This window comes from Homo sapiens, chromosome 20 (genome assembly GCF_000001405.40).
Source record: "Homo sapiens chromosome 20, GRCh38.p14 Primary Assembly".
Taxonomy (NCBI): domain Eukaryota; kingdom Metazoa; phylum Chordata; class Mammalia; order Primates; family Hominidae; genus Homo; species Homo sapiens.
This window is the reverse complement of record NC_000020.11, coordinates 9,820,746-9,847,202: the sequence shown is the minus strand read 5'-3', so window position 1 is coordinate 9,847,202 and position 26,457 is coordinate 9,820,746. Positions and strand designations below refer to the sequence as shown.

The 26,457-nt window shown below is 39.0% G+C and overlaps 1 protein-coding gene across 5 annotated transcripts in view; it reads left to right on the top strand.

Annotated features, from left to right (window-relative positions):
* Positions 1 to 8,126: 8,126 nt before the first annotated feature.
* PAK5 (p21 (RAC1) activated kinase 5) overlaps positions 8,127 to 26,457 on the top strand; it is a 301,707-nt gene continuing 283,376 nt past the window's right edge. For all 5 annotated transcript variants that reach the window (NM_177990.4, NM_020341.5, XM_017027960.2 and 2 more), the window contains exon 1: positions 8,127 to 8,441. The gene's annotated coding sequence lies outside the window, so the exon portion shown is untranslated. The remainder of the gene's footprint in view (positions 8,442 to 26,457) is intronic.

The window sequence follows — 26,457 nt, the reverse complement described above, 5'->3', positions numbered from 1 at the left end:
GGGAGGTGCTACACACTTATAAAAAACAAAAACAAAACAAAACAAAAAAACAGATTTCACTCACTATCATGAGAAGAACAAGAGGGAAATCCACTCCCATAATCCAGTCACCTCCTACCAGGCCCCTCCTCTAACACCGGGGATTTTAATTCGACATGAGATTTGGGTGGGAACACAAATCCAAACCGTATCAGTCTGCTTTAATTTGTTAAGAAGTATTTTGAGCCAGGCATGGTGGCTCACGCCTGTAATCCTAGCACTTTGGGAGGCCGAGGCGGGTGGATCACCTGAGGACAGGAGTTCCATACCAGTCTGGCCAACATGGTGAAACCCCGTCTCTACTAAAACACACACACACACACACACACACACACACACACACACACACAGATTAGCAGGGTGTGGTAGCACACGCCTGTAATCCCAGCTACTTGGGAGGCTGAAGCAAGAGAATTGCTTGAACTTGGGAGGCGGAAGTTGCAGTGAGTAGAGACGGTGCCACTGCACTCCAGCCTAGGCAATAGAGGGAGACTCTGGTCTCAAAAAAAAAAAAGAAAAAAAAAAGTGTTTTGTTATTTTCAGTGTACAAGTCTTTCACCTCTTTGGTGAAGTTAATTTCTAAGCATTGTATTCTTTTTAATGCCATTGTAAATAAAATTGTTTTCCTAATTTCCTTTTGAGATTGTTCAGTGCTACTATATAGAAATGCAACTGATTTTTGTGTGTTTATATTGTATCCTGCAATCGGGTTGAATTTAATATTAGTTCTAACAGGTGTGTATGTGTGTGTGTGTGTATGGACTTGTTAGGGTTTTCTACAGAGATCATGTCATCTGCAAACAAAGGTAATTTTGATTCTTATTTTCAAATTTGGATGTTTCTTCTTTTTTATTTTTATTTTTATTTTTGTCTGATTTCTCTGGCTAGCACTTCCAATACTATATAGAATAGCAGTGGTAAACGTGGGCATTTTTGTCTTTGTCCTGATCTTAGAGGAAAAGCTTTCAGTCTTTCACCATTGATTTTAGCTGTGAGGAAGTTATGTTTTTTGTTTGTTTTTTTCTTGTGTGTGTGTGTTTTTGCCTATATATGTTCAATTGTTGTAGCACCATTTGCTGAAAATCTATCTTACTCCAAGAAATTGTTTTTTCACTTTTGTCAAAAATTGGTTGTTCATATTTATATTGGTCTATTTCTGGGTTCTCTATTCAATTCCATTGATCTATGTGTCTAGCACTCTGCTAATACTATGCTGTCATGATTACTGCAGCTATAGAGTAAATCTTAATGTTTGGATAGGGCAATTCCTCCCACCTTATTCTTCTTGAACAAATTGTTTAGCTATTCTAGACCCATACCTTTCCATATAAATTTTAGAATAAACTTGTCTATATCTATAAAAAATATACTGACTATTTTATAGAAATTTCAGTGATTATATAGATCAATTTAGGGAAAATTGATACCTTTGCTATGCTGAGTCTTCTAATCTATGAATATAGTATGCCTCTCCATTTACTTAGGTCTACTTTGACTTATTTCATTTGTATTTTGTAATCGTCATTGTCAGCATACAGATACTGTATATATTTTGTTAAGTTTAAACCTAAGTATTTCATTTTCTTTGGAGCAATTGTAAACGGCATTGTGTTTTAAATTTTATTTTCTGTATGTTCATGATTAGTACACAGAATAAAATTTTGCGTGTGTGTTGATCTTGTATGCTGCAAATTTGCAGAACTCATTTATTATTTCTAAGAGTTATTTGTTAGATTCTTTGGCATTTGATTCCTAGACAATCATGTCATCTGCAAATAGAGACAGTTATTTTTCTTGCCTCATTTCAGTGAGCTAGAATTCAGCTAGAATTTCCATTACTATATTGAGTAAGATTGGTAAGAATAGTCAGGCTTGCCTTGTTCTGCCTCTTAGGGGGAAAGCATTCAATCTTTTCACCTGTAAGTTTGATGTTAGTCAGAGGTTTTTTGTAGTTGCTTTTTATCAAGTTGAGGTAATTCCCCTCTAGTCCTAACTTGCTGAAAGTTTTTATTCATAAACATGTGTTGGGTTTTGTCAAATTTTTTTCTGCATCAATTGATGTGATCATATTACTTTTTTCTTTTTCATTTTTTATTATGGTGAATTACATTATTTTTCCATATTAAATCTGCCCTCCATTCTGGAGAGAAGCACCACTTGACAAAGTATAATTACTTTTATACATTGTAAGACTCAGTTTGGTATCTTTTTTTTCAGGATTTTTGCATCTAAGTGGTAGCACATGTCTGTAATCCCAGCTACTCGGGAGGCTGAAGCAAGAGAATCGCTTGAAGCTGGGAAGCAGAAAATATTTGTTTATAGTTTTGTTTTCTTTCCTACTGAATTTGTTTGGTTTTGTTATCAGGGTAAGAGTTGTTTCATCAAATGATTTGGGAAGTGTTCTCTTCTGTTTTCTTAAGAAAATTGTGAAAAAATGACATTAATTCTTCTTCCAGTAGACTTCTCCAGTAAAACACTCTCACTAAATTATAATTAAACACTTCATATTAAAAAAAGTTTATAGCCAGATACCTAAATAGATAACATACTCTCAATTGCTGATTACAGGTTATTTTTCAAGTTTAAGTCTCTGGATATTTCATTTTGGGGAGCTTTTTAAGTTATGTATTCCATTTTCATCAGTGGTTCCAGGACTATTCAGCTTACGTATTTCATCTTACTTGAGTTTTTGTTAGTGTGTGGTTTTCAGAAATTGTTTATTTACTGTAAGTGGTTGAATTTATGAACACAAAGTTTTTCCAAATATTTACTTAAATTATCCTTTTAATGACTTCGAGATCTGCAGTTTCAGTACCTATTTTATTCCCAATGCTGGTGATTTGTGTCTTCTCTTCATTTTTGTCTAAACGAATAATTTTAATCCAGACTTATTTTAGTTATCTGTTTTCATTCCATTTTCATACTCTGTAAGGCTTTTTTTTAATTAAAAAATTATTTTTAGGAACAAGGTCTTTGTTTTTCAGGCTGGCACTGAACTCATGGGTTTAAGTGATCCTCCCACCTCAGTCTCCTGGGTAGATGGGACTATAGGTGTGTATCCCTGCACCCAGCTTTCTGTAAAATTTTAATATGTTTAAAAGAGAATAATATTTTGGGATATTTTGAAGAGAATAATGGCTTCTTTTTAAAACACATGCATTTATTGTCTAAAATTTCAAGCAATTTTAAGGAATACAGAGAAGTAAACAATCAACCCAAAATCTTTTCATCAAAAAAATCCCTTGGTTTATAATATTCCATAAATCTTCCTGTATAGAAAGAGATAAAAATATAAGGTTATAACAAGTAGGATAAGTTGACAGATATACTTTTTCAAGTATCATCCATATGTGGATGATAGCACAGAAGCTACTTTAAAACTAAATTGTATTTAATCTTATTAAAATTAAATAAGAAAAGAAGCTAAAATGTGCCTGCAGTAATCTCTCAACTTCAGAAAACGGTTTTTTTTCATATAGAGAGATAAGTTTGAAACATATTCCCTTAAAGGTAAGAAAAAAGCATGATGAGATCAGAGGTGGGGTTTTCTATCTATCTGCGGCAACTTTAATAATATACATTGACCACTTGCTGAGGAAATCATTATACTTAAACCTCCTTACAACTCCCTTCTTTCTACCTTCAGATTTTAGTAAGTTATCCAATGATACTGACATTGTCAAGGTTTATATTTATGTTCTGATTTAAAACTGCCAAACACCAGTGGTTTAGTCTTAGATTTATTTTAAAATAAATATGATTATCATTATCACATTTGACCACAGCTTCATCGTTCATGAGATTTATGTTTTAAATTTATCTCTTAGTTGTATAAATTTGATAATGAAGTAGAATATTATAAAGGTTTTTTTCTGCTGTGTATACTGATTTATTGCATTTGAGAACAATTGACTGTTGCCTTGAAAATCTGAAGAACACCAGTGTAGGAAAATAAACATTCTTAGGTCACCCTTTCTTTCCCTCAGAACACCCTCAGGCATTGCTTGATGAGAGTGAAGAAATCTAAATGCACACTGACTTTCTTTTTCTTATATGTAAATTGCCTTTTCTGTCTGGATATTCAGAACATTATTTGTCTTTGAAGTTCTGTAACTTCAGTAGGATATATTTTAGGGTTAATTGTTCCAGGTTGATTCTTTTTTTTCCCCTGAGACAATTGTGTTCTTTTGTTCTGCTGATCTAACACTCTCTATTTCAGGAAACTAACTTTTGTGTTTCTATTACATCTTTGATTATTTTTTTCTCTTCCATTTTATTCTTTTTTTTTTTAACAGCAAAGGTTGTAAAAAGTGGTATTCTGGTAGATATGTAATAACCAGTTGTCTGAAAACAAACAAACAAACAAAACCCTGATTTGTAGCATTTGTCCATTTGTGTGGGGTAAATACTTCCACAGTGGCTGATTTCAAGCTGTTACTGAAAATGGAGTTAGGAAGCAGTACGTATGCCCAATCAGCTCTTGCAAGCTGGTGCAAGCCAGCTCCTGCATGTTACTGGTTGTACATGTGTTGGATCTCCTTTGTTTGTATTTCATAAAAATGGTCTATGATTTGTTTTATACTTATTTGTTAGTAGCTAAGTACTTGTCTATTTATCACTGTGTTTTCAGTGGTTAGTCTGTTTTTTTTTCCTATTCTCTCTTTCTTTCTTTCCTTCTTTCTTTCTTTTTTTTTTTTTTTTTTTTGTAAGACGGAGTCTCCCTCTGTTGCGCCCAGGCTGGAGTGCAGTGGTGCAATCTCGGCTGCAACCTTTGCCTCCCGGGTTCAAGTGATTCTTCTGCCTCAGCCTTCTGAGTAGCTGGGATTACAGGCGCCCACCACCACGCCCGGCTAATTTTTTTGTATTTGTAGTAGAAATGGGTTTCACCATGTTGGCCAAGCTGGTCTTGAACTCCTGACCTCAGTGATCCGCCCACCTTGGCCTCCCAAAGTGCTGAGATTATAGGCGTGAGCCACCACGCCTGGCCCTTAGTCTCTTACCTTTTGAGTGGTTTAATGGCTTTTATTTTTCCCTGAACTCTGCTAGTTTATCTTTCATTTTAGTCTTATTGTCTGTCTTTAAATCCTTATATTTCTTTATGGTGCTTTTAAAAAACATTATTCAGATTATATTGCCTTTCATTCCATTGAAACTCGGGAAAAAATATTTGTCCGAACTTTTTTTTCTGTTTCCTTGGGGGAATTCTTTAGAGACCTATTCTTTATATGCTTTTGTTTATGTTCCTTGGAACATTCTTTTCCACCTCCTATTCTTTCCCTACCTCCACTATCTGAGCAAATGTCCTGCTTCATTTCTAGAATCTATGCTGGTTCCCTTATGGTTGCGGTTCATCTTTCAAGAATTCCAGCCATTTGTAGATGCATAGCCTGGAGAAGGTAAAGAGAATGAGCTGGGTAGTCTGAACCTGGGTTCCAGCATGCTGTCTTACACATCCCTGTCAGCCAATCTACCAAGTTCTCCACCCCTCAGGTTCATCTTGTCACAGTTTTTGGTGTCAACAAGGTTGGTTGACATTAGTTTCTCATGAAATCTTGACTAGTCAGTAGCTCTGTTTTATTGAAAAACACACTTCTATTTACTATCAAACACTTATTCCTACCCCATTACAAATTACAAATACAGATTTTGACAGAGAAAATTATGTCTTAAATGGTAGACAATAAATACATGCCTGCTCAATAAATCATAATTAAACTAGTCATATAAAAAATGCATACAGCCAGATACCTAAATAGATAGTATACTCTCAATGGCTGATTACAGGTTATTTTCCAACTTTTAAATCTTTGAGCCAGAGAGAAAGTCTATTACTTATTCAAAAATAAAGTTTTAAAATCTGTCTGACAAATCAGTAGAGTTCTACTTTGTGTGTTCAAAAGTGCTGTATTCAATAAATACATCAATGTGGTGGACAAAGGAATGTTTTGCCTAAATTCCCCTTAAGTGAAGGATTTGTTACTGCAGCCACAGGGACTACAGCTGACAGAGGCCTTTAGCTGTTGTTACCTGTAAGAATTGCCAGAGCTGCCTGTCTTAAGTTCGTGCCCCTCCTAGGAACAGCCCATGCTCAATGATTGATGTGGATGTAAAGGACTGACTATCTCAGACCAACTCATGGTCATTCTGAAGGATCACCCTAGCTAGTGAGCTCCATAAGGGGCTGACAAAGGCTGCAATTGGCTTGCATCACAGCTTAGCTTCTACCTCTGCCTGCTCCTGCTTCCTGTATCCCTCCCACCCACAGATGTTGGTCCTTAGTCAAATACTGCAGGCTAAACCCTCAAGAAATGGCATTACATATAAAGAAAACCCTTAGGAATTCATGCAATGCAGTATTTACAGAAATAGCATTATTATTCATCTATAATTTTTACCTTGCACGCTTCCAAAATAAATTTGAGGCAGCTAACAATCATCATCATATTTAACTAGCAGAAACAAATGTACAAACACAAACTTTATGTATAACAGGAAGGCTATTTTAAGTGATTAAAGTTCAATATTTCAAATAAAAATTTTAACTGATACTAACCAATGACAAATAAACGATATCTCAGTAAAAATATGTTCTGGCTTTTGCATCTATGTGAGCACACATATAAGAAAGTCAAAAGTAGAAAATATTTATGCATATAGTTGTGGGGGTGACGATGGTGGCAGTGGGTAGGTTGTTAGGGCTGTGTGCAGCTTTGAGAAGGAAGAGATGAGTATGATACACAAGGACATGGGACTACTGAGGGAGAAAAGTAATCATCCATTTATCCTGTGGTTTCTGTTTTGATATGGCCAGTACAATATTAAAGGTACTAAGTGAATGGAAAACAAGCAAGGGGAAATGATAACTACTATACTATTAGCTAGAAAACTGTCTAAGGTCATTGAGTATAATAAGGAACGGAGAGATACAAATCCTTATTTTGTAACCTGCTATCTAGTTATGGGATCAGATTCCATATCCACTACTAGCTCATAAGGGTACTCTTGTGGCAGCTGAAGACAGACAAGAGCGTGGCTTCTTCATTTCCAAGGGTGAAAACTCAGGACTACTTCGTGAATGTCTTTCATTCACTAGAGTCTTGATAATGCTGGAGACTTCAAGAGTCTGGGAGGGCAGTAGGCAACTGGGAAGTTTAAGTTGAACCACAAATATCGTTGCAAACTTCAGCCCAAACATCACTGAACACAAAGGCCTGACATCTCTTGGTACAAAAATGCGCTCTATGTTTGTCATAATCTGTCGGCTTTCTTAACTAGGCAAGCCCAAGCTTGCTATTAGATGTACAATAAACACTTTGATGCCCAGTCTGAGTTTTTGTCCCAGCTCAGGAAAGGCAAGGGGACAGCCAAGGCAGACTGGTTCAGACTTGACCGGGGCAGCTCATCCAGCAACTGGCTTACTAGCCAGCTAGCAAAGTGAGCATGAAAAGGTCCAGGAATCCTTCTTCCCCTGGGCCTTAAATTCGAAATCAGACAGCAGCCAAGGAGAAGCTGGGTGGTCACAGCCTAGCCCCACAAACACTCCTTCCAGGTAAGGCTCAGCAACCCCAGGCTGGAGGAGTCTCTGTGGACACCAGAGACCATTGCTAGGCTGGCGGATTGAAGGATGGCCACTGAGAGGTCACAGATAAGGGGTTCTCTAGATGTTTGCTACTCGGAGTGGTGGGAGGGCCAGCAGCAGCAGCATCACCTGCGAGGTTGTTAGGCTTGCAGAATCTCAGGACCCAGCCAATTGAATCTGAATCTGCATTTTAATTCACAGGCACATGAAAGTTTGAGAATCACCGGTCCAGGTGGTGGCAAAGAGGCCAGCCCACTGTTCTGCTTCTCAGCCCCTCCTCCTCCCCACCTCTGCTAGCCTCTTAAGCAAAACTCAATCCTGCAATGGTCCTGAACAACATTTCTGCAAATCCCGAGTGTTGGGGGAGAGGGCGTGCAGGAGCTGCCCCCGCCGGGGACGACTGGGAGTAAACGTGATTGGATTGGTCGCCTGCTCCAGCTCCCGGCTCCTGGCTCCTGCACCCTGAGTGTAGACACGCCCCCCGACCCTCCCCCTCACCTCCACCCCCGGCCGCCGCTACAGCCTGCCTCCCGCCGGCTGCCACGAAAACCCGGAGCAGCTGCGTACGCTCATGGACAGTCCTCCGAGGGGCGAAGCCGGGCAGCTGGGCATGCTCAGTAGCTGGGGGAGGTTTGGGTGGAGAGTAGAAAGCTGTGGCTCTGCCTCTCACCCCCTCCCGCTGGCCCCCGCCCCCCTTGCCCCTACCCAGCCAGTAGTAGTTCCCCAGCGTGCGCCCGGGGAGACCGGGAACATGGCGCTGGGAGCGCTGTAGCAGCTGAGAAGGGGCTGAGGCACCGCCGCTTCGCTGACAGCCGGCCACCAGGTAGGCAGGCGCGCCTGTCGGGACTGCCTGGGTGGGTATCGGCGAGAGGAGAGGCGCCTGCGGGGATGCGCGCCGCTGGTAACCGGAGCATCTCTCTTTGCCGGGAGAGGATGCGAAGAGGACCACTGTGACAGCGCGATCCTGCATCTCCTAGGAGATGCAAAGGCTAGGGACCTGCTGCCTGGAGGGTAGGGATAGGGGACCGCCCACCCTCAACCCATGCGCTACTATCCAGCCTGGGCTCTCTACCAACCAAATAAAGGATGGTTCCATTTTGCTGGGCGGGAGGGCGTGGAGGAGAACCCCGGATTCCAGCCCTGAGAGCGTGCTGGTACCCCGAACTGCTCGCAAGCCCAGCACCAGTTCTTTGTGTGTATACAGCAGCGCACGCCCTGGGGGTGCCACGGCGCTGCTTTTCCCGAGAAGTGTTGGACATATTGCCAGAGCAGGATTCCCGCATGGTTTTTGTCTTTTGGCAGGTGTGGACTGGAGGATGCAATAGCTGAGCCTTTATGAGGCTGTGTTTTCCTTTGTTATTTGTGTGTGTGTGTGTGTGCGCGCGTGTGTGTGTGCGCGCGCGCCTGGTGGGTTGTAATGGAGAGACAGAGAGAGAACTTCTGCTTGTGGGCACCCTTGTGAGCAGGGCGTGGAAGAGGATCTTGGTTCCAAACTCTTGTCAAAATTGTGTGCCATGTCAGCCTCCTAGAGGGTAAACTTGAGAAGTCCAGGGATCATCACTGCTCAGTTTGGAGGATAAGCGCGATCGCCCTTCTTGAAACCATGTGTGTGTATATGGAGCTTTCAACTCGGGCTGAGTTAATTTGTCAACATTAGATATCAATTAAGGGAACCTGAAACGCTGAGGCTATTTATGGTGGTCTTTTTATGGCCAGAATAATAAACAAAAAGAAAAGTTGGCACAAAGCCAGAGGAAAGTGTCATTGTTAATAGTTGATGACAGCTTGAAAGACTGAACACACTTTTAGGAAAATCAGGAAACCTGGCATTCTACGGAGTTCTACCAAGACATAGCCACAGGGTCTTAGGTAACTCACAAAAATCTTCTAGTGCAACCGCTTCTCTTCTGGGGCTTGGAGGCTGTAGACACTCTTTCTCTTACCTGATATAGATGGACAAGATGCTTTTTAGAAGTCCCTCCTACACTAGAATTCTATGAAATTGACACCTTATAATAACAGCTGTGCCACCTTAGATTTGTGTATCTGTTATATTCAACAGCACAACAACTCAATCTTGGGGAGAAAGATAACCAGGTTAGTTAGGGAGAAAGGTAAATTTAAAGCATGGGTTTATTTTTTGCTTTATAATTTAAAGGATGGGCATCTTAGCATATGAAGTTTGGAGACAGTTTCCTCTGCACTCACACTATTTATTTTTATAGTCTTGTTAGGTGGCGAGAATGAGTCAGTATCATCAAAATGAAGTGGGGGAATACATAAGGAAAATGCATTTAAGTAAATTAAAGCCATAAATGTCCAATCTGATAATACCTTGACTTGGAATACATATGTGCAAGGCAGATGCACTGCTAAATGGAAGCAATATAAGCCAATGGCAAGTTCCTTGGTAACGCTGGCCTTAGACTAAAAACCTAGTGTTCTTCTGTGAGTGGGTAGAGATTGTACTAGGTCTCTGCAGCTTGTTATTTTATTAATAAATGTGAGTTTAATTGAAAATTGATATCTAAGCATTGAATCAATTGATATCTAAGCATTGAAAATCTAGTCTGGCAGTGCCTCTCCACTCTGTCAGGACCTGCTGAAATGCTGTAGGTATGGGAGGCAGGTGTTTGAACTCTGACTCTTCTATGTTTAGCTTTGTGATTCTGGGAAAATTATTTAACTTTCCTAAGCCTCAGTTTCCTCACTTATAGAACAGTCCTCGGAATAGTAAGACTTATCTAGATGAGTAGATGTACGGATTAATCATAATTTAAACCACCAGGAAAATGGTGGTGACTGTTATGAGTAAGAGGGAAATGGATATTTACTGAACCTATGCTATGTGCCCTATATAATGATTCAGGCTCAAACATGTTAATTCCCTTAAATTTCCCAACTATATTAGTTTCCTAGGGCAGTTATAACAAGTTACCAAAAACTGGGTGGCTTAAAACCACAGAAATTTATTCTCTCATGGTTCTGGAGGCTAGAGGTCCAAAATCAAGATGTTGTCAGGGCCATGCACCCTCCAAAACCTCTAAGGGAGGATCCTTGCTTGCCTTTTCCAGCTTCTGGTAGCCCCAGGCATTCCCTGGTTTGTGGCAGCATAACTCCAATCTCTGCCTCTGTATTCACATGGCATCTTCCTCTCTGTCTCTGTCCCTGTGTCCAAATTTCCCTTTTCTTATACGGACATCATTCATATTGGATTTAGGACCTGTTCCTTATTCAATATGACCTCAAATTAACCAGGTTACATTTGCAAATGCCTGATTTCTAAACGTCATATTCACAGGTTCTGGATGGGCATGAATTCTTGGGAGACACTCTTCAGCCCAGTACACCAACATCCCTATGAACTGTGTTTGATGACAACATTAACATTATGTTAGCATAAGAGGTAAAGATAGAGTAGCATGGATTCAGAAAATACTTTAAAGATTATTTAAGGGAACTAACCTATTTGAGGCTTTATATACACAACCATGGTAGGGAAGAGCAGGGTTCAAAAGTACCTCATTTATGCATGTCACTTACCTGGGAGCCAAGACAACCCAGGACCTGGATCTTCTAGAGTATCTCAAACATACTGTGCCCCCAGTTGATTTGTTGATGTTGCCTTCCATCCTTCTTGCTAACCTTCCAAACAAATGCAAAAAAACCAAAATGCATTAAATAACAAAAACAATAATAGCAACAAAGGCAAGCTAACAACTTTCTAGTCCTTCTTAACCTGGTAAATGGCACCACTATCCATCGAGTTGCTTTAACCAGAAACCCAAGAATCACCTTTGACACCTCCTTTCCCTTGACCCTCCACATTTAAAACCATCATGCAGTCTTATAAATGCTATTTTCTCTATAGATCTCTAAATACATCTTGATAAATTATTTCTATCCCCACCACCACCACTATCAAACTGCAAGAGATGATAATCTCTTACCTGGACCACTAGAATAACTTCCTAACAAGACCCCTGGTTCCTTGCCTGGCTCTTCTAATCCTTCATCCAGAGCAGAGAGGATAATGTCAGTTCCCTACATAAAATACCACCCACACACCTGGGACAGATTCCAGAGACTCCTAGAGCCTCTGATACTTGGCCAGCCTCATCTTGTGCATCTCTTCCTCTTGATGCTGTCACACTGACCCTCTGTCTGTTTCTGGAACATCCCCAACCATCTTCCCTCTATATTTTACCAGTCTGGGTCATACTCATCCCTTGGGCTTCCTTGATCTCTCTTCCCCACCGACCCAACTCTCTCATCATCCTTTCACTTTTATTCCACAGCACTTATTCCAGTTTGCAAATGCCTGTTTGTTTGGCTATGTCTGTAAGCTCTATAATGGCCATTTATTTTATGTCTTATATGCAGAAGGTGCTCAATGAACTTTTGGTGAATGAGTGAAGGAACGAATACTCTGCCTCATAGCATTTTCCTGTGCCAACTTCAAGATCTGATTTTTAGAAGGTTTTTCTTTTCTAGTATAGAAAGAGCAATTTAGAACCTTATTCTGACTTCAAAAGGAGAGTATTCTTGGCTTTAACAAATGCATCTTTTAAGAACTGATTTAGGCTAGAAGTTAAGAATTGAGTCAAAATATTTTTTTGGCAACTGAGGTTTTTGTAAAAATACATCAATCAGTCAATAAATATTCTGCAAATATTTATTGCATGTGTATATTTGCCATGCTACACCCTTGGAAGACAATGGTGAGCTAGACTTTCAGTCTTCTGGAAATTAATGGTAAACAATAAATAATAATCATTATGTATAATAATAAATAAATAATACATTTAATTATTTGTTGAGCTTCTGTTATATGCCAGTGTCTCTTCAATTCCTGTCCATAATCATCACTATAACCCTCTAATCTTTCCCAATAACACAGAACCCCACACTTACTAGGAGCACAACAAATATTTTGTGAATTAATAATTTGTTGGTATTATTATTCTGATCTGTTGAAATAGGAAATGTGTGCTTATCTGGGGAAAAAGGTATCTGCACATATATAGAAGAGCATGCAATTGCTTTCTCACCATATCTAGGTGGGCACTGTTTTATTTTAAAAATCATCCTGGACATTATCTCTGGAGGTAAATTAGGAGAGAAATTGCTCTTTATAAGGCGACAAGTTCCTGGTGTGTTTCTGTCAAAATCCTGAATTGTTTTATTTCGTTTAATTGTCTAAATTTGTCCTGTTTAATCCAAGTGAGAAGTGACTTAATGTCTCTCATTCAGAGCCCTTTTTGTAGTTTTGAATAGTAAGACTGAGTGCCCAAGGGAAATGAATGTAGTTCAACAGAGGAACACATGTTATGTTTTAGATTTCTAAAGTGGCTTCAATTTCAGATTTTTATATTAGTCTCATAAAAGGGTGATTTTTAAAAATAAACAGTAAAATAGCATTTAATGCCTATGTTTAAGTAAAGTTTTTAATGTAAGTAACCAAAAATTAGACAGTGTGCCTTGATTTTGTTTAAAAGTGATGGATACACAATGGGATCAATTAAAGCCTAAAGGAACTAGTACAAAATTTCAGTAATGTTTTTGGTTATAAAATACATGTTCAAAAATTGATGGCCACCCAAAATGCCAGTGTTTTACTAACTAAAAAGTAGAATGGAAAATGATTCTATTCATGAATTCACTAATATATAAATTGAGTGGGAAAAACAGGAAACATACATAAAATACTCGTGAATAATAAGAAATATATAAAAGTCTTTGTGGAAAGCTATACAATTTTACTCAAACCAATAAACTGAGGAGCAAACAAAGAAAGACATACCTTATGCTTTGGTAGAAAGATGAATATTATGAAACGGTTATTTTTCCCAGATCAATTATATAGTTTTATTACATTGGGATTTGGGAGAACCTTACAAAATGATTCTAACATCCATCTGGAAGAATCACCATATAAAAATAAAAGAAAACTTTTCAAAAGAATAGTAGTGGTGGTGGGGGAGGTGAGTGGTGGTGGTAAGATGGGAGGTGGTGGTACATACAGGTGGTGTGGAGAGTGGAGTTCTAGGGGTGGTAAAGGTGGGGGGAAGTTTGATGGTGGAGACGAATACATGAAGGTGGTGGGATGAGGTGGTATGGATGGGGGTGGTGGGTGGTAGATGTGGGTGGTTGGGGGGTGAAGGTAGGTAGATGGAAGTGGTAGTGGTAATGGGCGCCATTGTTGAAACAAAAGTAAATTTGATCATTGGCTACAATCATTATAGCAATGTAGTACTGGTGTAAGAATTGATTAATAGCTCAGTGGAATAGAAGAGCCTGGAAACAGATTTAGGTCATTCTTAGAACCAGAAATATGACGAAGAAGGCATTATGAAACAGTGAGGAGTATTTGACAAAACGTCATGGAAATTGGCTAAGTGTATAGAAAGCATTCAACTAAGAACCTCTGTTTACATGACCCTCCAAATGAAATTCCACATAAATTGATAAGTTTATATGCAAGGTGGAAAACAAAGCTAGAATAAAATATTTAACTAATTTTAGGGGAAGTACTTTTTAAATATAAAATCAATGGGAAGAATCACAAAGCAAAATAAAGATTTGAATATATTTTAAACTCTCATATGCAGCAATGCATGCATTTTAAACAGAACAGAATCATGGAAAACAATATTGACACCAAACATGACATGACAGTTCATGATAGCCCTGAGGAACTCTTGCAAATCAGTGAGTAAACAATAGCACCCCAATAGAATTGTCCAAATATCTGAATGCATAATTCAAAAGGAAAAAATAAAAGACCAATGCACACGTTTAATAAATGTTATTACTATTAATCACAGAAATGCAAATTAAAATAACAATGAGGTGGTGTGTTTTATGTATTAAAAAAGTAAAAAATACAAAAAATAAACTTAATACTGGCAAGGATGCAGTGAGAAGGACAATCTCTTTCATTACTTGTGGTGGGAGGGTTACATAATACAAGCTTCCTACAGAGAAGTTTAAAAATACTTATCAAAATGTCTGCCAGGCACGGTGGCTCATGCCTATAACACCAGCACTTTGGGAGGCCAAGGCAGGTGAATCACTTGAGGCCAGGAGTTTGAGACCACCCTGGCCAACATGGGAAAACCCCATCTCTACTAAAATACAAAAAAATAGCTGGGTGTGGTGGCACACTCCTGTAATCTCAACTTCTTGGGAGGCTGAGGCAAGAGAATCACTTGAACCTGAGAGGTGGAGTTTGCAGTAAGCCGAGATCGCGTTACTGCACTCCAGGCTTGGTGACAGAGTGATACTCTGTCACCATTAAAAAAAAGAAAGTTGTCAAAACTTTTAAAAGTTTAAATTATTTGACACACTATTCCTCTTGTTTTTTATTTTATGTTTTCTTTTGTCTTTGGTAAGGAAGTAGATGCAGGTAAAATTGTGTATTATAATATATTTCATAGTAATAAAAATTAAAAAGAACCTATATAACTAGAACTTGGGAGCTTGGTAAAGGTATTTAAGGTCCCAAGATAACAGACTATTATATAGGTATTAAAATTAATTATTTTGAAGATTATATAATGACGTGAAACAAACTTCACCACAATTTTAAGTGGAAAAAAACAAAATGCACTACTACATATATTGTATTGTTAATATGTGTTTTGTGAAATGAAAACATCATGCAGGTATATTTAAAAAAACAGAACAAAATTAAAAAGTTAGGCAATCTCTGGGTGGTGGAAATATGGATGGCTTTTATTTTGTTACACTTTTCCAAATTTTAAAAAATGTAGTAGGCCGGGCACGGTGGCTCACACCTGTAATCTCACCACTTTGGGAACTCGAGGTGGGTGGATCACTTGAGCTCAGGAGTTTGACACCAGGCTGAGCAACATGGCAAAACCCCATCACTACAAAAAATACAAAAGTTAGCTGAGCGTGGTGGCGCACGCCTCTGATTTCAGCTACTCAGGAGGCTGAGGTGGAAGGAATGTCTGAGCCCATGAAGTGGAGGTTGCAGTGAGCCAAGATCGCACCACTGCACTCCAGCCTGGGCGACAGAGTGAGGCCCTGCCTTGGAAAAAAAAATTAGTCAATGATGTGTTGTTTTATGAATCAGAATTAAAAAATCCACTATTTTACAAATAAGCAGTGATATACATTTAGGTTGTAATTATTCATTTATGTAACAAACATTCATTGATTATCTCTTGTGTCAGGGGCTCTGCCAAGTGTATCAGCAGTGACTCTTAGATTGCATGCAAATGAAAGAAACTCTGCCTAACTCCAGCAAAAGGAATTTACTAGAAGGATATTAGGTAGCTAAAAGAATTGCCAGGAATGTGGCGGGGGATGGGGAATCCCAAACACACGCACGCGCGCACACACACACACACCCCCCAAAACAGCTTGGAAGCAGATGAAGCTAGTCAGTTCCAGGTCTAGATATCAGGCACTTTGGAAACAGACTCCAGCCAAGAATGACTTGTTCAGAGCTTGACCACAGTCCACTGGCTGCTATGCTTGGGGTTCTTCCCCCACACCCAGCCCACTGGGCATGGGATAGGAGGGGGGGTGCCTTGATTAGTAGGCCCACTACCCCTTTCCAATGAAAGAAACACAAGAGATGTGATGGGTGCTAAAAAGCCAAAACCAAACCAAACCAAACCAAAAAAAGACAACAGAAATGCCCATTACCCTAGGACTTAGGGGTAAACAGGGTTGAATACCACTCATCCCTCTCTTTGCATCCCATAGGAAACATTTGCTATGACATGGGAGTTTAACTTAAGGTTCATGGTCTAATGTTCACTGTGATGTGCATCATTGAAGGTGCAATGTGGGTGCCCCACACAGAAGGTACATTTTCCTCTTGGAGCCAGTAGTGACATGTTGGGAAGAGTGTGGATTTTCAGCCTGATCCTTATATACCGGCAGGAATTTTGAAAGAAAGGTCCCATTTTCTCAGGTAAGAGAAAATCCTAGAAAGGTATAATCTGAAAGAAACAATGAAGCAGAAGCAAGAGGTATAATATGGAAATAGATCAGGCACCAACACAGGTCTAGCCTTCTTTTCTGAATGATCTTACATTCAGCAAGCCCAACAGTCATGTTTGAGTTTAGTTCACCATGAATACCAGCCTCTTGGTTCAATTAACTTTGGTTGATAAAGTTATTATTAACTAAATATTAAAAGATCATACTTAGATCAGTGCATATTCTTACTGCAGTTCTCATGATAAATAGGAAATGTCTGTGGCTGTCCAGGTAACTTAACAATCATGTTGTTGCTTTTATAACTCTTTATAAACTTTTCTGTGAAGAAAGATGACTTGTAAGTGGAAGAGAAAAAAGAGGTAATTGTTCTTCACTTGTGCTTAAAACAGGACAGAGAAAATAATCTTAAATTAGCAAGACAGGTCCCTGTCCTGGTCACTGTATATTAGAGGGCTCTGCTACTCTGCACTCCAACTTCTCAGCACCTGGACAGCACTGCTCCTCTGCAACAAAGACCCCTTGAGCTCTTTGCCTCCTTCTGAGCCTTGCTCTGCATAGCTGGGACCTTGGAATTCACTGCTCATGGGGCTCCTGGGCCCAGTGGGGGTTGAAAAAAGACTGTTGGTGGGAGGTGTAAATGGAGCTTGGACTTGTGGACTTTGTAGTCTCCACACAAGTGCTGGAGGCCATGGTAGAAAGAGAAAGGGATGGGGAGGGGAGCAAAGACTGGGTCTCCTTGCTTTGCTATGTTCTGGAATTTAAGTACTCTAAATTTAAATCTGGCTTCTACGTTGTTATGAAGGCATATTTGTTAAGCCAGGAAGATATAACACATTTAAATTAACATTTTTTTAGCTTGATTTATAGTATTTAAATATTGAGATCTGTAACATGTGGGACTCCTTTTGTACTCTTGTCTCTCAAATGTTAGGATCAGGCCTGCTCAGGTAACTGTTTTAGAAAGGTAACACTCAATTGTTGAGACACACATGCATAATTAGCTAATCATGCAACGGCAATGTAGATTATAAGAAAAATAGATTATACTTTTTGTGACTATAGCTAACATATTGAACAAGATGTGTTAAGCCCACATCCAAGTATTTTACCTATGTATATTAATTAGTCTTCATAAGAACACCATAAAATAGGTCACTCAAGGCAAAATATCATGCAGCTAGATAGAGTCAAGAAGCTCTGGATCATCTGAATCCAAAGGCCATTGTGGTATACAACAATTCAATGGATAAGAAAAGTTTTATCTGAGGTCCTTGAACCTCCGATAATTTAAAAGTCACTAGATTAATCAACCCACTTTGACTCTCCAATACTCTCAAATCCTCAGATTCAGCATTTCTGTTCGTGCAGATTTCCTCATGAAAAGGGAAAGTAAATGAATGGACTGCCTTGCAGTGTTTGGTATTATGATTAACTGAATGTTCCAAACCAAAAATCAATATTTGGTTGTTTGTATAAGAAGCACATTTAACTTACATTTTTAAACAGATGTCCAGTTGTGGGATTTCCTTAGCTAATTTTCAATGGAATTGCCATTGTGTCATTGATGATAAAGGTAAATTGGCCATAAGGTGTACCTTTGTTTCTCTAAAGCACTGGTTCATACCCCTACTACTCTTCTATTACCCTATTTTCCAACTGAACCAAGAAGACTTTCTGCAATCAATATTGGTTCCATCACTTTTGATAACAACTTACATAATGGGGGAAGGAAAGGAAGAAGGGAGAGAAGGGGAAAGAGAAAAACAGAGAGAGAGAGAGAAACTCCCACCTTTGGTTCCAAATATAAGATCTCTGTTAGACACAACAGTTATTAGCTTCATTTCCAATTAAAATTCAAGTTTGGCATACTATTTAAGAAATTCTTTAGCTATTTTCTAGAGGAAACTTCATGTGTTTGCTTCTAATGGTCACTGGATTCATGCAAATGGTGTTTGTATAATAATGATTTTTTAGCTAATTGTTTTTAGCTGTCAGCTGTGTTGCCCCCTTATTTTATAGCTACATTACAGTTTACTGACCCAGGAAGTGAACTTTCTGGAAGAATAGAAAATTCACACTTTATTTGTTTAAAAGAAAGATTCTTCCTCTAAAGTAGGAACAGTTGCTATGTGGGTATGATTTAACTTCTAAAAATAAAAACACTGACGGAGGAGGGGGATTTAAAAAAATTTTACAGAAACAACTTAGAATTTTTCTCATCCTGGTGGTTTTTAGGACAATGTTCTCTCTTCTCTAGGTATTAGAGATAGAGAAACAGACAAACAAAAATAATTTGCCAATAATATTTGAATAATAGTTATTCACGCCTTGAGTTAAGTAGTGGTTTAACCCTTTTTGAGGGTTAAGATAACAGCTACCTACCTGCAGGTTGTGTGCTATCTCTTTCAGATTCCAAGTAGAGTCTACTCTTCTCCTACCCTCACAGCCAAGCAGTATCTAAATTGCAACTTGGCTGGGCGCGGTGGCTCACGCCTGTAATCCCAGCACTCTGGGAGGCCGAGGTGGGTGGATTACCTGGGTCAAGAGTTCGAGACCAGCCTGGCCAACATGGTGAAACCCTGTCTCTACTAAAAATACAAAAAAACATTAGCTGGGCATGGTGGCGCACGCCTGTGATCCCAGCTACTTGGGATGCTGAGGCAAGAGAATCGCTTGAACCCGGGAGGCAGATGTTGCAGTGAGCTGAGATCACGCCACTGCACTCCAGCCTGGGCGACAAAGCAAGACTCTGTCTCTAAATAAATAAGTAAATAAATAAATTGCAACCTAAAAAACATTTTTTGCATGTGCCCCCTTCCCTGTCTCCACTGCCACTCCCCTTTGCATCTCTCAATTAGATCTTCTGTCAGCCTCCTATCTGTTCTCTTTCATTCTTACCTCCAAAATGATCTTCTGTTATCTGAGTATCACACCTTCATTGAAAACTTTCTATACAGCTACCACATTCCCCCACCCTCCCCCTCCCCCAAAATCCTCCCACATGGTTCTGGATTGTTCCTCTCAAACAGTCATCACAATGTTTTGTAGATTTTTTTTTAGCTTCCTTCTTGCACTAAACTGGGAACTCTTCGAAAGCAGGCATCTTGTTTCTTCACCTTTGTATCCCCAGCACCTGGCTTTATGCCTACACATGTCAGGTCTTTAATAAATGTCTATGGATGAATGGATATTACCCAGGCTAAAAAATTTGAATGCAAATGTGAAAAGGCGGTGCTATGATTTAAAAGGCCACTCAAGGCAAAATATCACGCAGTTAGATAGATTCAAGAAGCTGAGTCAAACCCTGTATCATCTGAATCCAAGGCAATCAATGCTGTGGTATACAGCAACTCAGCAGATAAGAAAAGTTCTGTTTGGAGTCCTAAACAAAAATTGGCTAATCTAAAATCAGCTAATCTAAAAGTTATCTCATCCATTTTCTTTAAAAACACACAAACTAGTTTCACACTAATACTGGTTTTCTATTTTCTGTGAATAAAAAAGAGGTAGAGAGAAAGATTAAACCCTCTACCTGTTTCTGGTTGGAGAAAGAAAAAAAATTCCAATATTGGACATGGGTATAAGGTAGAGATTCTAAACACATGGAAAAGAGAGAAAGTGGTGAAGCAAACTATAAGCTGAGAGCCGGCCTCCCCACAATAGAGTAAATAAACTGAGCTTCTTGAAAAACATTGAGAATAATTATTTGATTGCTAGATGCAGCTTAACACCTACTGCTCTATTGTCCCAGACCTGGTATGAATATGCCTAATTGGTGGTGTGATTCCTGCTCAATTATCCCTTGATTTGTGTAGTGAAAGCTGGGGTTTTATATGGTTCTGCCCAAGTCTTCGGCACCAATGTTTCCATAGCAACAGATGCACTATAAAATGAGGAAGAAATCGAAAGTTTGGGAGAGAAATAAATCAAAGCGAGTGATCCCAGCAAGAGGTTCCCCAGGGTGAGTCCCAAGGGCTTTTCAGGCTTCTAGTCAGATATATTTGCGGCAGAATTCTCGGAGATAGAAGATTCTAGGATGATAAATGCCAGGGATTTTTTAAAGCAATATATGGATACTATCTATGACAGCAGTTACCTTGTGTGCTTCAGTTTGGATTTCTAAGGCAAGTTCCTGTGTTGGGATATTAGGAGTCTACACTGGTCGAAAGAATCACTTACCAGTTAGAGCCTACTAACCCCTAGGTAACAGGATATGAAAACTGGAGATTTTTACTATCTTTGAAATTGAATTGAGCTATCCTTCTAAAGCTGAAAGGTGTAGAACACTGTGAATTCTATTAGGTACTAAATATTTGACTATGTCAATTTAGAGCAGTGTCTAATTTTGTGGTATAGATGTGTTCTGTTTAACACAGACAGTGTGAAATTTCCCAGAAAAAAAAAAATCTAGATTTCTGACTTCTCTTATTCAAAAAATCACACACACAAATACAGACACATACACTTAGTTGCAAAATTTGTCAACACTGACCATGTTTCTTCATGGCAATCATTTGCTGTAGCTGAGTAACAGCTGCCTTTAACATGGATCAGTCATGGAGTCTTCACTTTGTCACAGTCCCCATCACTCCCTACTGCCTGTAATCAGGCCATTTTAATTGTTTATGTTACCCTCTTGGTCATTAAAGTCTTGAATGTATAACCTTTGAATTTGAGTGAATATAATTCAAATTATAACCTTTGAATTGCTCTATATTTTTGGATCATTTTATCCTCATATATTGTGTCTTCTTAATTTTGCTTCCCAAAAATATGGACCAACTTATTTAATAATTTAAATATAACGCAAATGACATTTTAGAAAGATGCATTTTAAAAATTTTATCCTAGAAAAAAAATTTAGAAGTAAGACTTTATGCTGGTATGAATTTTATTTAAAAGTATAGAGTTTAGAGATATTTGGTAAAAACATTTGCATAAATAGGCTGCTGCAACTACTTTTTCAAAATTTCTTTCAACACTGGACAATTTTTTTAAAATTTCTGTTGTGTTTTATTTGAACTAAACTGAAATGGAAAAGAAATCATATGGTCTTAAGCTTGCTGGAGGTAGGGATTATCAAAACGCAAAAGGATGGTATCATATTTCATATGATATTATCATCTGGAAAATATAAAACTTTCACAATGCAACTGTGCTCACAGCAGTGAAGTAGAACCTTATAAATGATATGCATTCTGTAGAATGGCTGGAAAAATCTCAAAATCAATATTGGAATCACCCAGGGCAACTAAGAATAACAATATCACTGTACCTTACTAAAAAATAATAAAAAACAAGTGAGATAGAAAATTCCAGAGTTGTCCCTAGAGTTTTTATTTGCTTGGGATAGAAGGATGATAGCAGTAGCTTCCCATTTCTTTTCAGACCTCAATTTTATTTTAAACACAGAGCACAGTCCACCCACTGAAAAGAATTTTCTTTTCTACAAAGACCAGGGTGTGCAATGACTGTGAGTATCACTGTAAAACAGAAGAACATTTGGCTCTAAGTTACTCACTTAACTAGTAGGATCAAAACAAGATAACTGGATCTGTCTATTAGGCTAGTGTCTGTTTATGTCTGCTTTCTCCTGTAAAGACTAGATTAAAAAATAGGAAACAGATGTTACAATGAACATTCCCAACGAGTCACTCACCCATTCAGCAGCTGCACCTTGAGTACTATTCTGCTTACTTCAGGTGGCATGTACCATGAGGAGGCATATCAATGAATATAGAAGATAAAAATGTTCTTCTGTGAACATAGAAGATAAAAAAAGAAGGAGAGACAGACAGGAAACAGCATAATAAATAAATGTATAGAATGCCAGAAGGTCATCAGTGCTTTATAAAATAGAGTGGGATAAGGGAAATCAAAAGGGCTGTGATGGGTGGCAGTGAAGGGCGTGATTTTAAATAGGATGGTCAGAATAGGTATAATTGAGAAAGTGACATTTGAAGGAGGAGAGGAAATTGCCGTGTAGATACACATGGGACAGCATCCCAGGTAGGGATGGGGACCATTTTTGCAGTGCACTCCAAATTGCATATGATTTGTCTCCTGCAAAGACCCTCAAGTTTTTTCATTTGGAAGTAGAATTTTAGTGCTGGTTCAAACCCTAACCTCATTCTAATGCTGCTAAGGACACCATTACTCCAGTCCTGCCAATTCTTCTCTAGATAAACCATAACTGCTTTTTGGAAATTTTTTTTTAAGAGGCAGGGCCTCACTTTGTTGCCCAGGCTGGTCTTGAACTCCTGGCTTTAAACAATCCTCCTGCCTTGGCCTCCCAAAGTGCTGGAATTATAGGCATAAGCCACCACACACGGCCTTCCTTTTGGAGATTTAATATTCTTTCTCCATTTTGGTTTAATTCAAATGAAACACAACAGGGATTTTTTTGAAACTGTCTAATATTTAAAAAGTATGGAATTATGGCACATACTAGGTATTTGTTCAGTTTTTTGTTTGGTTATAGAAAGAAAAGATGTGCCTCAGAGTTAAAACAATGATTGAGCAGTAATCAAGTTCTTTGAACATGTATTATATGCCAGATATTGTGTTATATGTTTTGTAAACACTATCTCATTTAATTCTTGCAGTAGGCTTATAAATTAGGTGTTATCATTATTCCCATTTTATGGCTAGTAAATAGCAGATTGTGCTGCCTTGCTCTATTGATTAAGATTAATCTTCTACAAGCACAAAAAAAAGGTAAAAAGTATTTTCTCAAGTTCTAAGTGTAATTCCTTTAACTTCCTCTATTTTAGTTAGGATTTCCCCCCCAGAAACAGACCTTGAGGCAAGGATTCGAGAGCAAGTAGTTTACTTGGAACGTTCATGGAATACCGTTAAGAGAGAGGGCAAGTAACACATGGAAGGGGAGTTTATTAGTCTGTTCTCACACTGCTAATAAAGACATACCCAAGACTGGGTAATTTATAAAGGAAAGAGGTTTAATGGACTCACAGTTCTACATGGCTGGGAAGGCCACGCAATCATGGTGGATGACGAAGGAAGAGCAAACGATCGTCTTACATGGCGGAAGGCAAGATTAATTGTGCAGGGGAGCTCATTTATAAAACCATCAGATCTGTGAGACTTATTCACTACCAAGAGAACAGTATGGGGGAACCACCCCCATGATTCAGTTATCTCCACCTAGCCCCACCCTTGACACGTGAGGATTATTATAATTCAAGGTGAGATTTGGGCGGGGACACAGCCAAACCATATCAGAAACTGTCAGTCCATTCCTGCTGCTATAACAAAATACATTAGACTGGGTAGTTTTTAAATAATAGAAATTTATTTCTCATAGTTCTAGAGGCTTGGAAGTCCAAGATCAAGGCACCAGCAGATTCAGTGTCTGGAAAGGGCTTCTCCTCTGTTCAAGATGGCATCTTGTTGCTATGTCCTCCAGAGGGAAAAGGATGAATGCTGTGTCCTCACATGGCAGAAGGGTAAAAAAGGGATAAACTTGCTTCCTTAAGCTTTTCTTATAAGGACACTAATCTCATCTATGACAGTGGAGCTCTGATGGCCTGATCACCTGCTAAAGACTCTTAGTATTTTTACCTTCAGGTTTAAGTTCCAACATGTGAATTTCAGAGGGACATGTACATCTAAATCATAGCAGAAAGGCTGCCAAAATTAGAGTATTAAAATAGAGGAACTGGGAAATGGTATAAAACTCATGCCTCCAAATCAGTCCACCCAAAGGGGAGGGAACTGAGATATTTATACACCAACTCCCATCAGTCATTAGTTGAAGGCTGTTCCCAGAGAATGTTAGTTTCTCTGTACTTCCAAACTCCCATGATATGGAAAAGCCCTTAGAAACACAGATACTGACTGTTGGAAGTCAGTAGGCATATGGGTGGATACTAATAAGGCTTGCTACATCTATACCTGTTGCCTCCCTTGTCATGTGCCTGCCAAACTTCAGAGATCCTTTAGAAGTTGTTGTAAGAAAAGAAAATTTATCTTCTGCTAGTCAATTGTGAGCTATTGATTGGGCAATTTATTAGTGTAGACAAGAACATTCCATGTACAGTGGGTAAAAGAGCATTGAGCCAGAGTGTTAAGTTGCCCTCAAAGTCATTTCCAAATGAACAAGATGATATAACTATAGGTGTTCAATTGTACATAATTAAGCAGGGAGCTGTTATTATAAACGCATCTAATGTTGAAAAATGAAACATAAGTAAGGCTACAACTGACCTTGTAATGAAACAGAAAGATAAAATATTCCTAAGAGTAAATCATTTGACTGTGTAATGTAATGTAATTGCTTTTTTTTTTTTTTTTTTGAGACAGATCTCACTCTGTTGTTACCCAGGCTGGAGTGCAGTGGCAGGATCTCAGCTCACTGCAACCTCTGCCTCCTGGGTTCAGGCAATCCTTCAGCCTCAGCCTCCCAAGAAGCTGTGACTACAGAGATGCACCACCACACCTGGCTAATTTTTTGTATTTTTAGTAGAGATGGGGTTCACCATATTGCCCAAGCTGGTCTCGAACTCCTGAGCTCAGGCAATCTGCCTGCCTCAGCCTCCCAAAGTGTTGGGATTATAGGCGTAAGCCACCACACCGGGCCTGCATTCTTGTAGGGTACTGGTGGACCAGTTGATAAGCTGTATCTTCCATGGCATTATTTGGAACTCTATATCCCCAAAAATGTTGTTCATGCCCATGATCATTTTTAGGAATAGCTATCTTGAAACTTGGGAAAGCTGGAGAATATATAATACAAAATGATTTTGAGTCTGTCTTGCAAGAAACCCCAAACCAAAAATAATTTTGCATGGAGAAAGAAGAGAATGTAACAAGTATGCTGAGAGCAGAAACGCAAGTGTTAGTCCTCTGTATGTGTGGATAAACAGTAAATGTCAGTGAATTTTAACTGAGTGATAAAGTGTATTTGATCAGGAAAAAGTGAAGAATGGATGTTGGGCAGTTAGCAGCCTGAAGTAGGATCTCAAAAATAACCCAGGTGGCTTTCTCGATGAGAATGTATCAGTTGAGGTCGTTTAGGATAGTAGAGAAGGTGTTTTAAAATTGTGGAGCAAGAGGGGGATCCAAAGTTAGGTCATATCAGTGATTGCCAATAGGATACTCAGGTTAGGCAGGCTACAAAGTATTGTGTTCTGAAAATAATCACAGTTAACCTTGGATTTGAGATATGGATGGGTTTTAAGAAACTCATCATCTTTTTTTGTTTGTTTGACAGAGTCTCGCTCTGTTGCCCAGGCTGGAGTGCAGTGGCATGATCTTGGCTCACTGCAACTTCCGCCTCCTGTGTTCAAGCAATTCTCCCACCTCAGCCTCCTGAGTAGCTGGGATTACAGGTCCCCACCACCATGCCCAGCTAAATTTTGTATTTTTAGTAGAGATGGGGTTTCACCATGTTGGCCAGGCTGGTCTCGAACTCCTGACCTCAGATGATCCGCCTGCCTCGGCCTCCCAAAATGCTGGATTACAGGTGTAAGCCATCGCACCTGGCCATTATCATTGGTATGGACAGGAAACCTGTTTTACACACCAGAGGGCACCATGGGTTCTAGAGTTTCCCACTTGGAGTAACAGAAAAGTGTTCAAAATTTCTGGTGTTCCTAAAAGAATAAAGAGAAGAAATTTGGGGAGAGCTATCAGGGCTGGAGGAAGAGTGGTGCTTAGGGGCTTTGCATCACCAACATTGAGCCTTCCTTTACCACCTTGGGTTACTCTAATTGTTGAACCTGAGTGTTACAGTTCTGCTCTTCCCTGGTTCTCATTTCAGGGCTCCCCATTCAGTTCCTTTATATTCAGGGCTTCCGTGTTACACAGCTTCAGAAGACAACATTCACATCTGAGGTGAT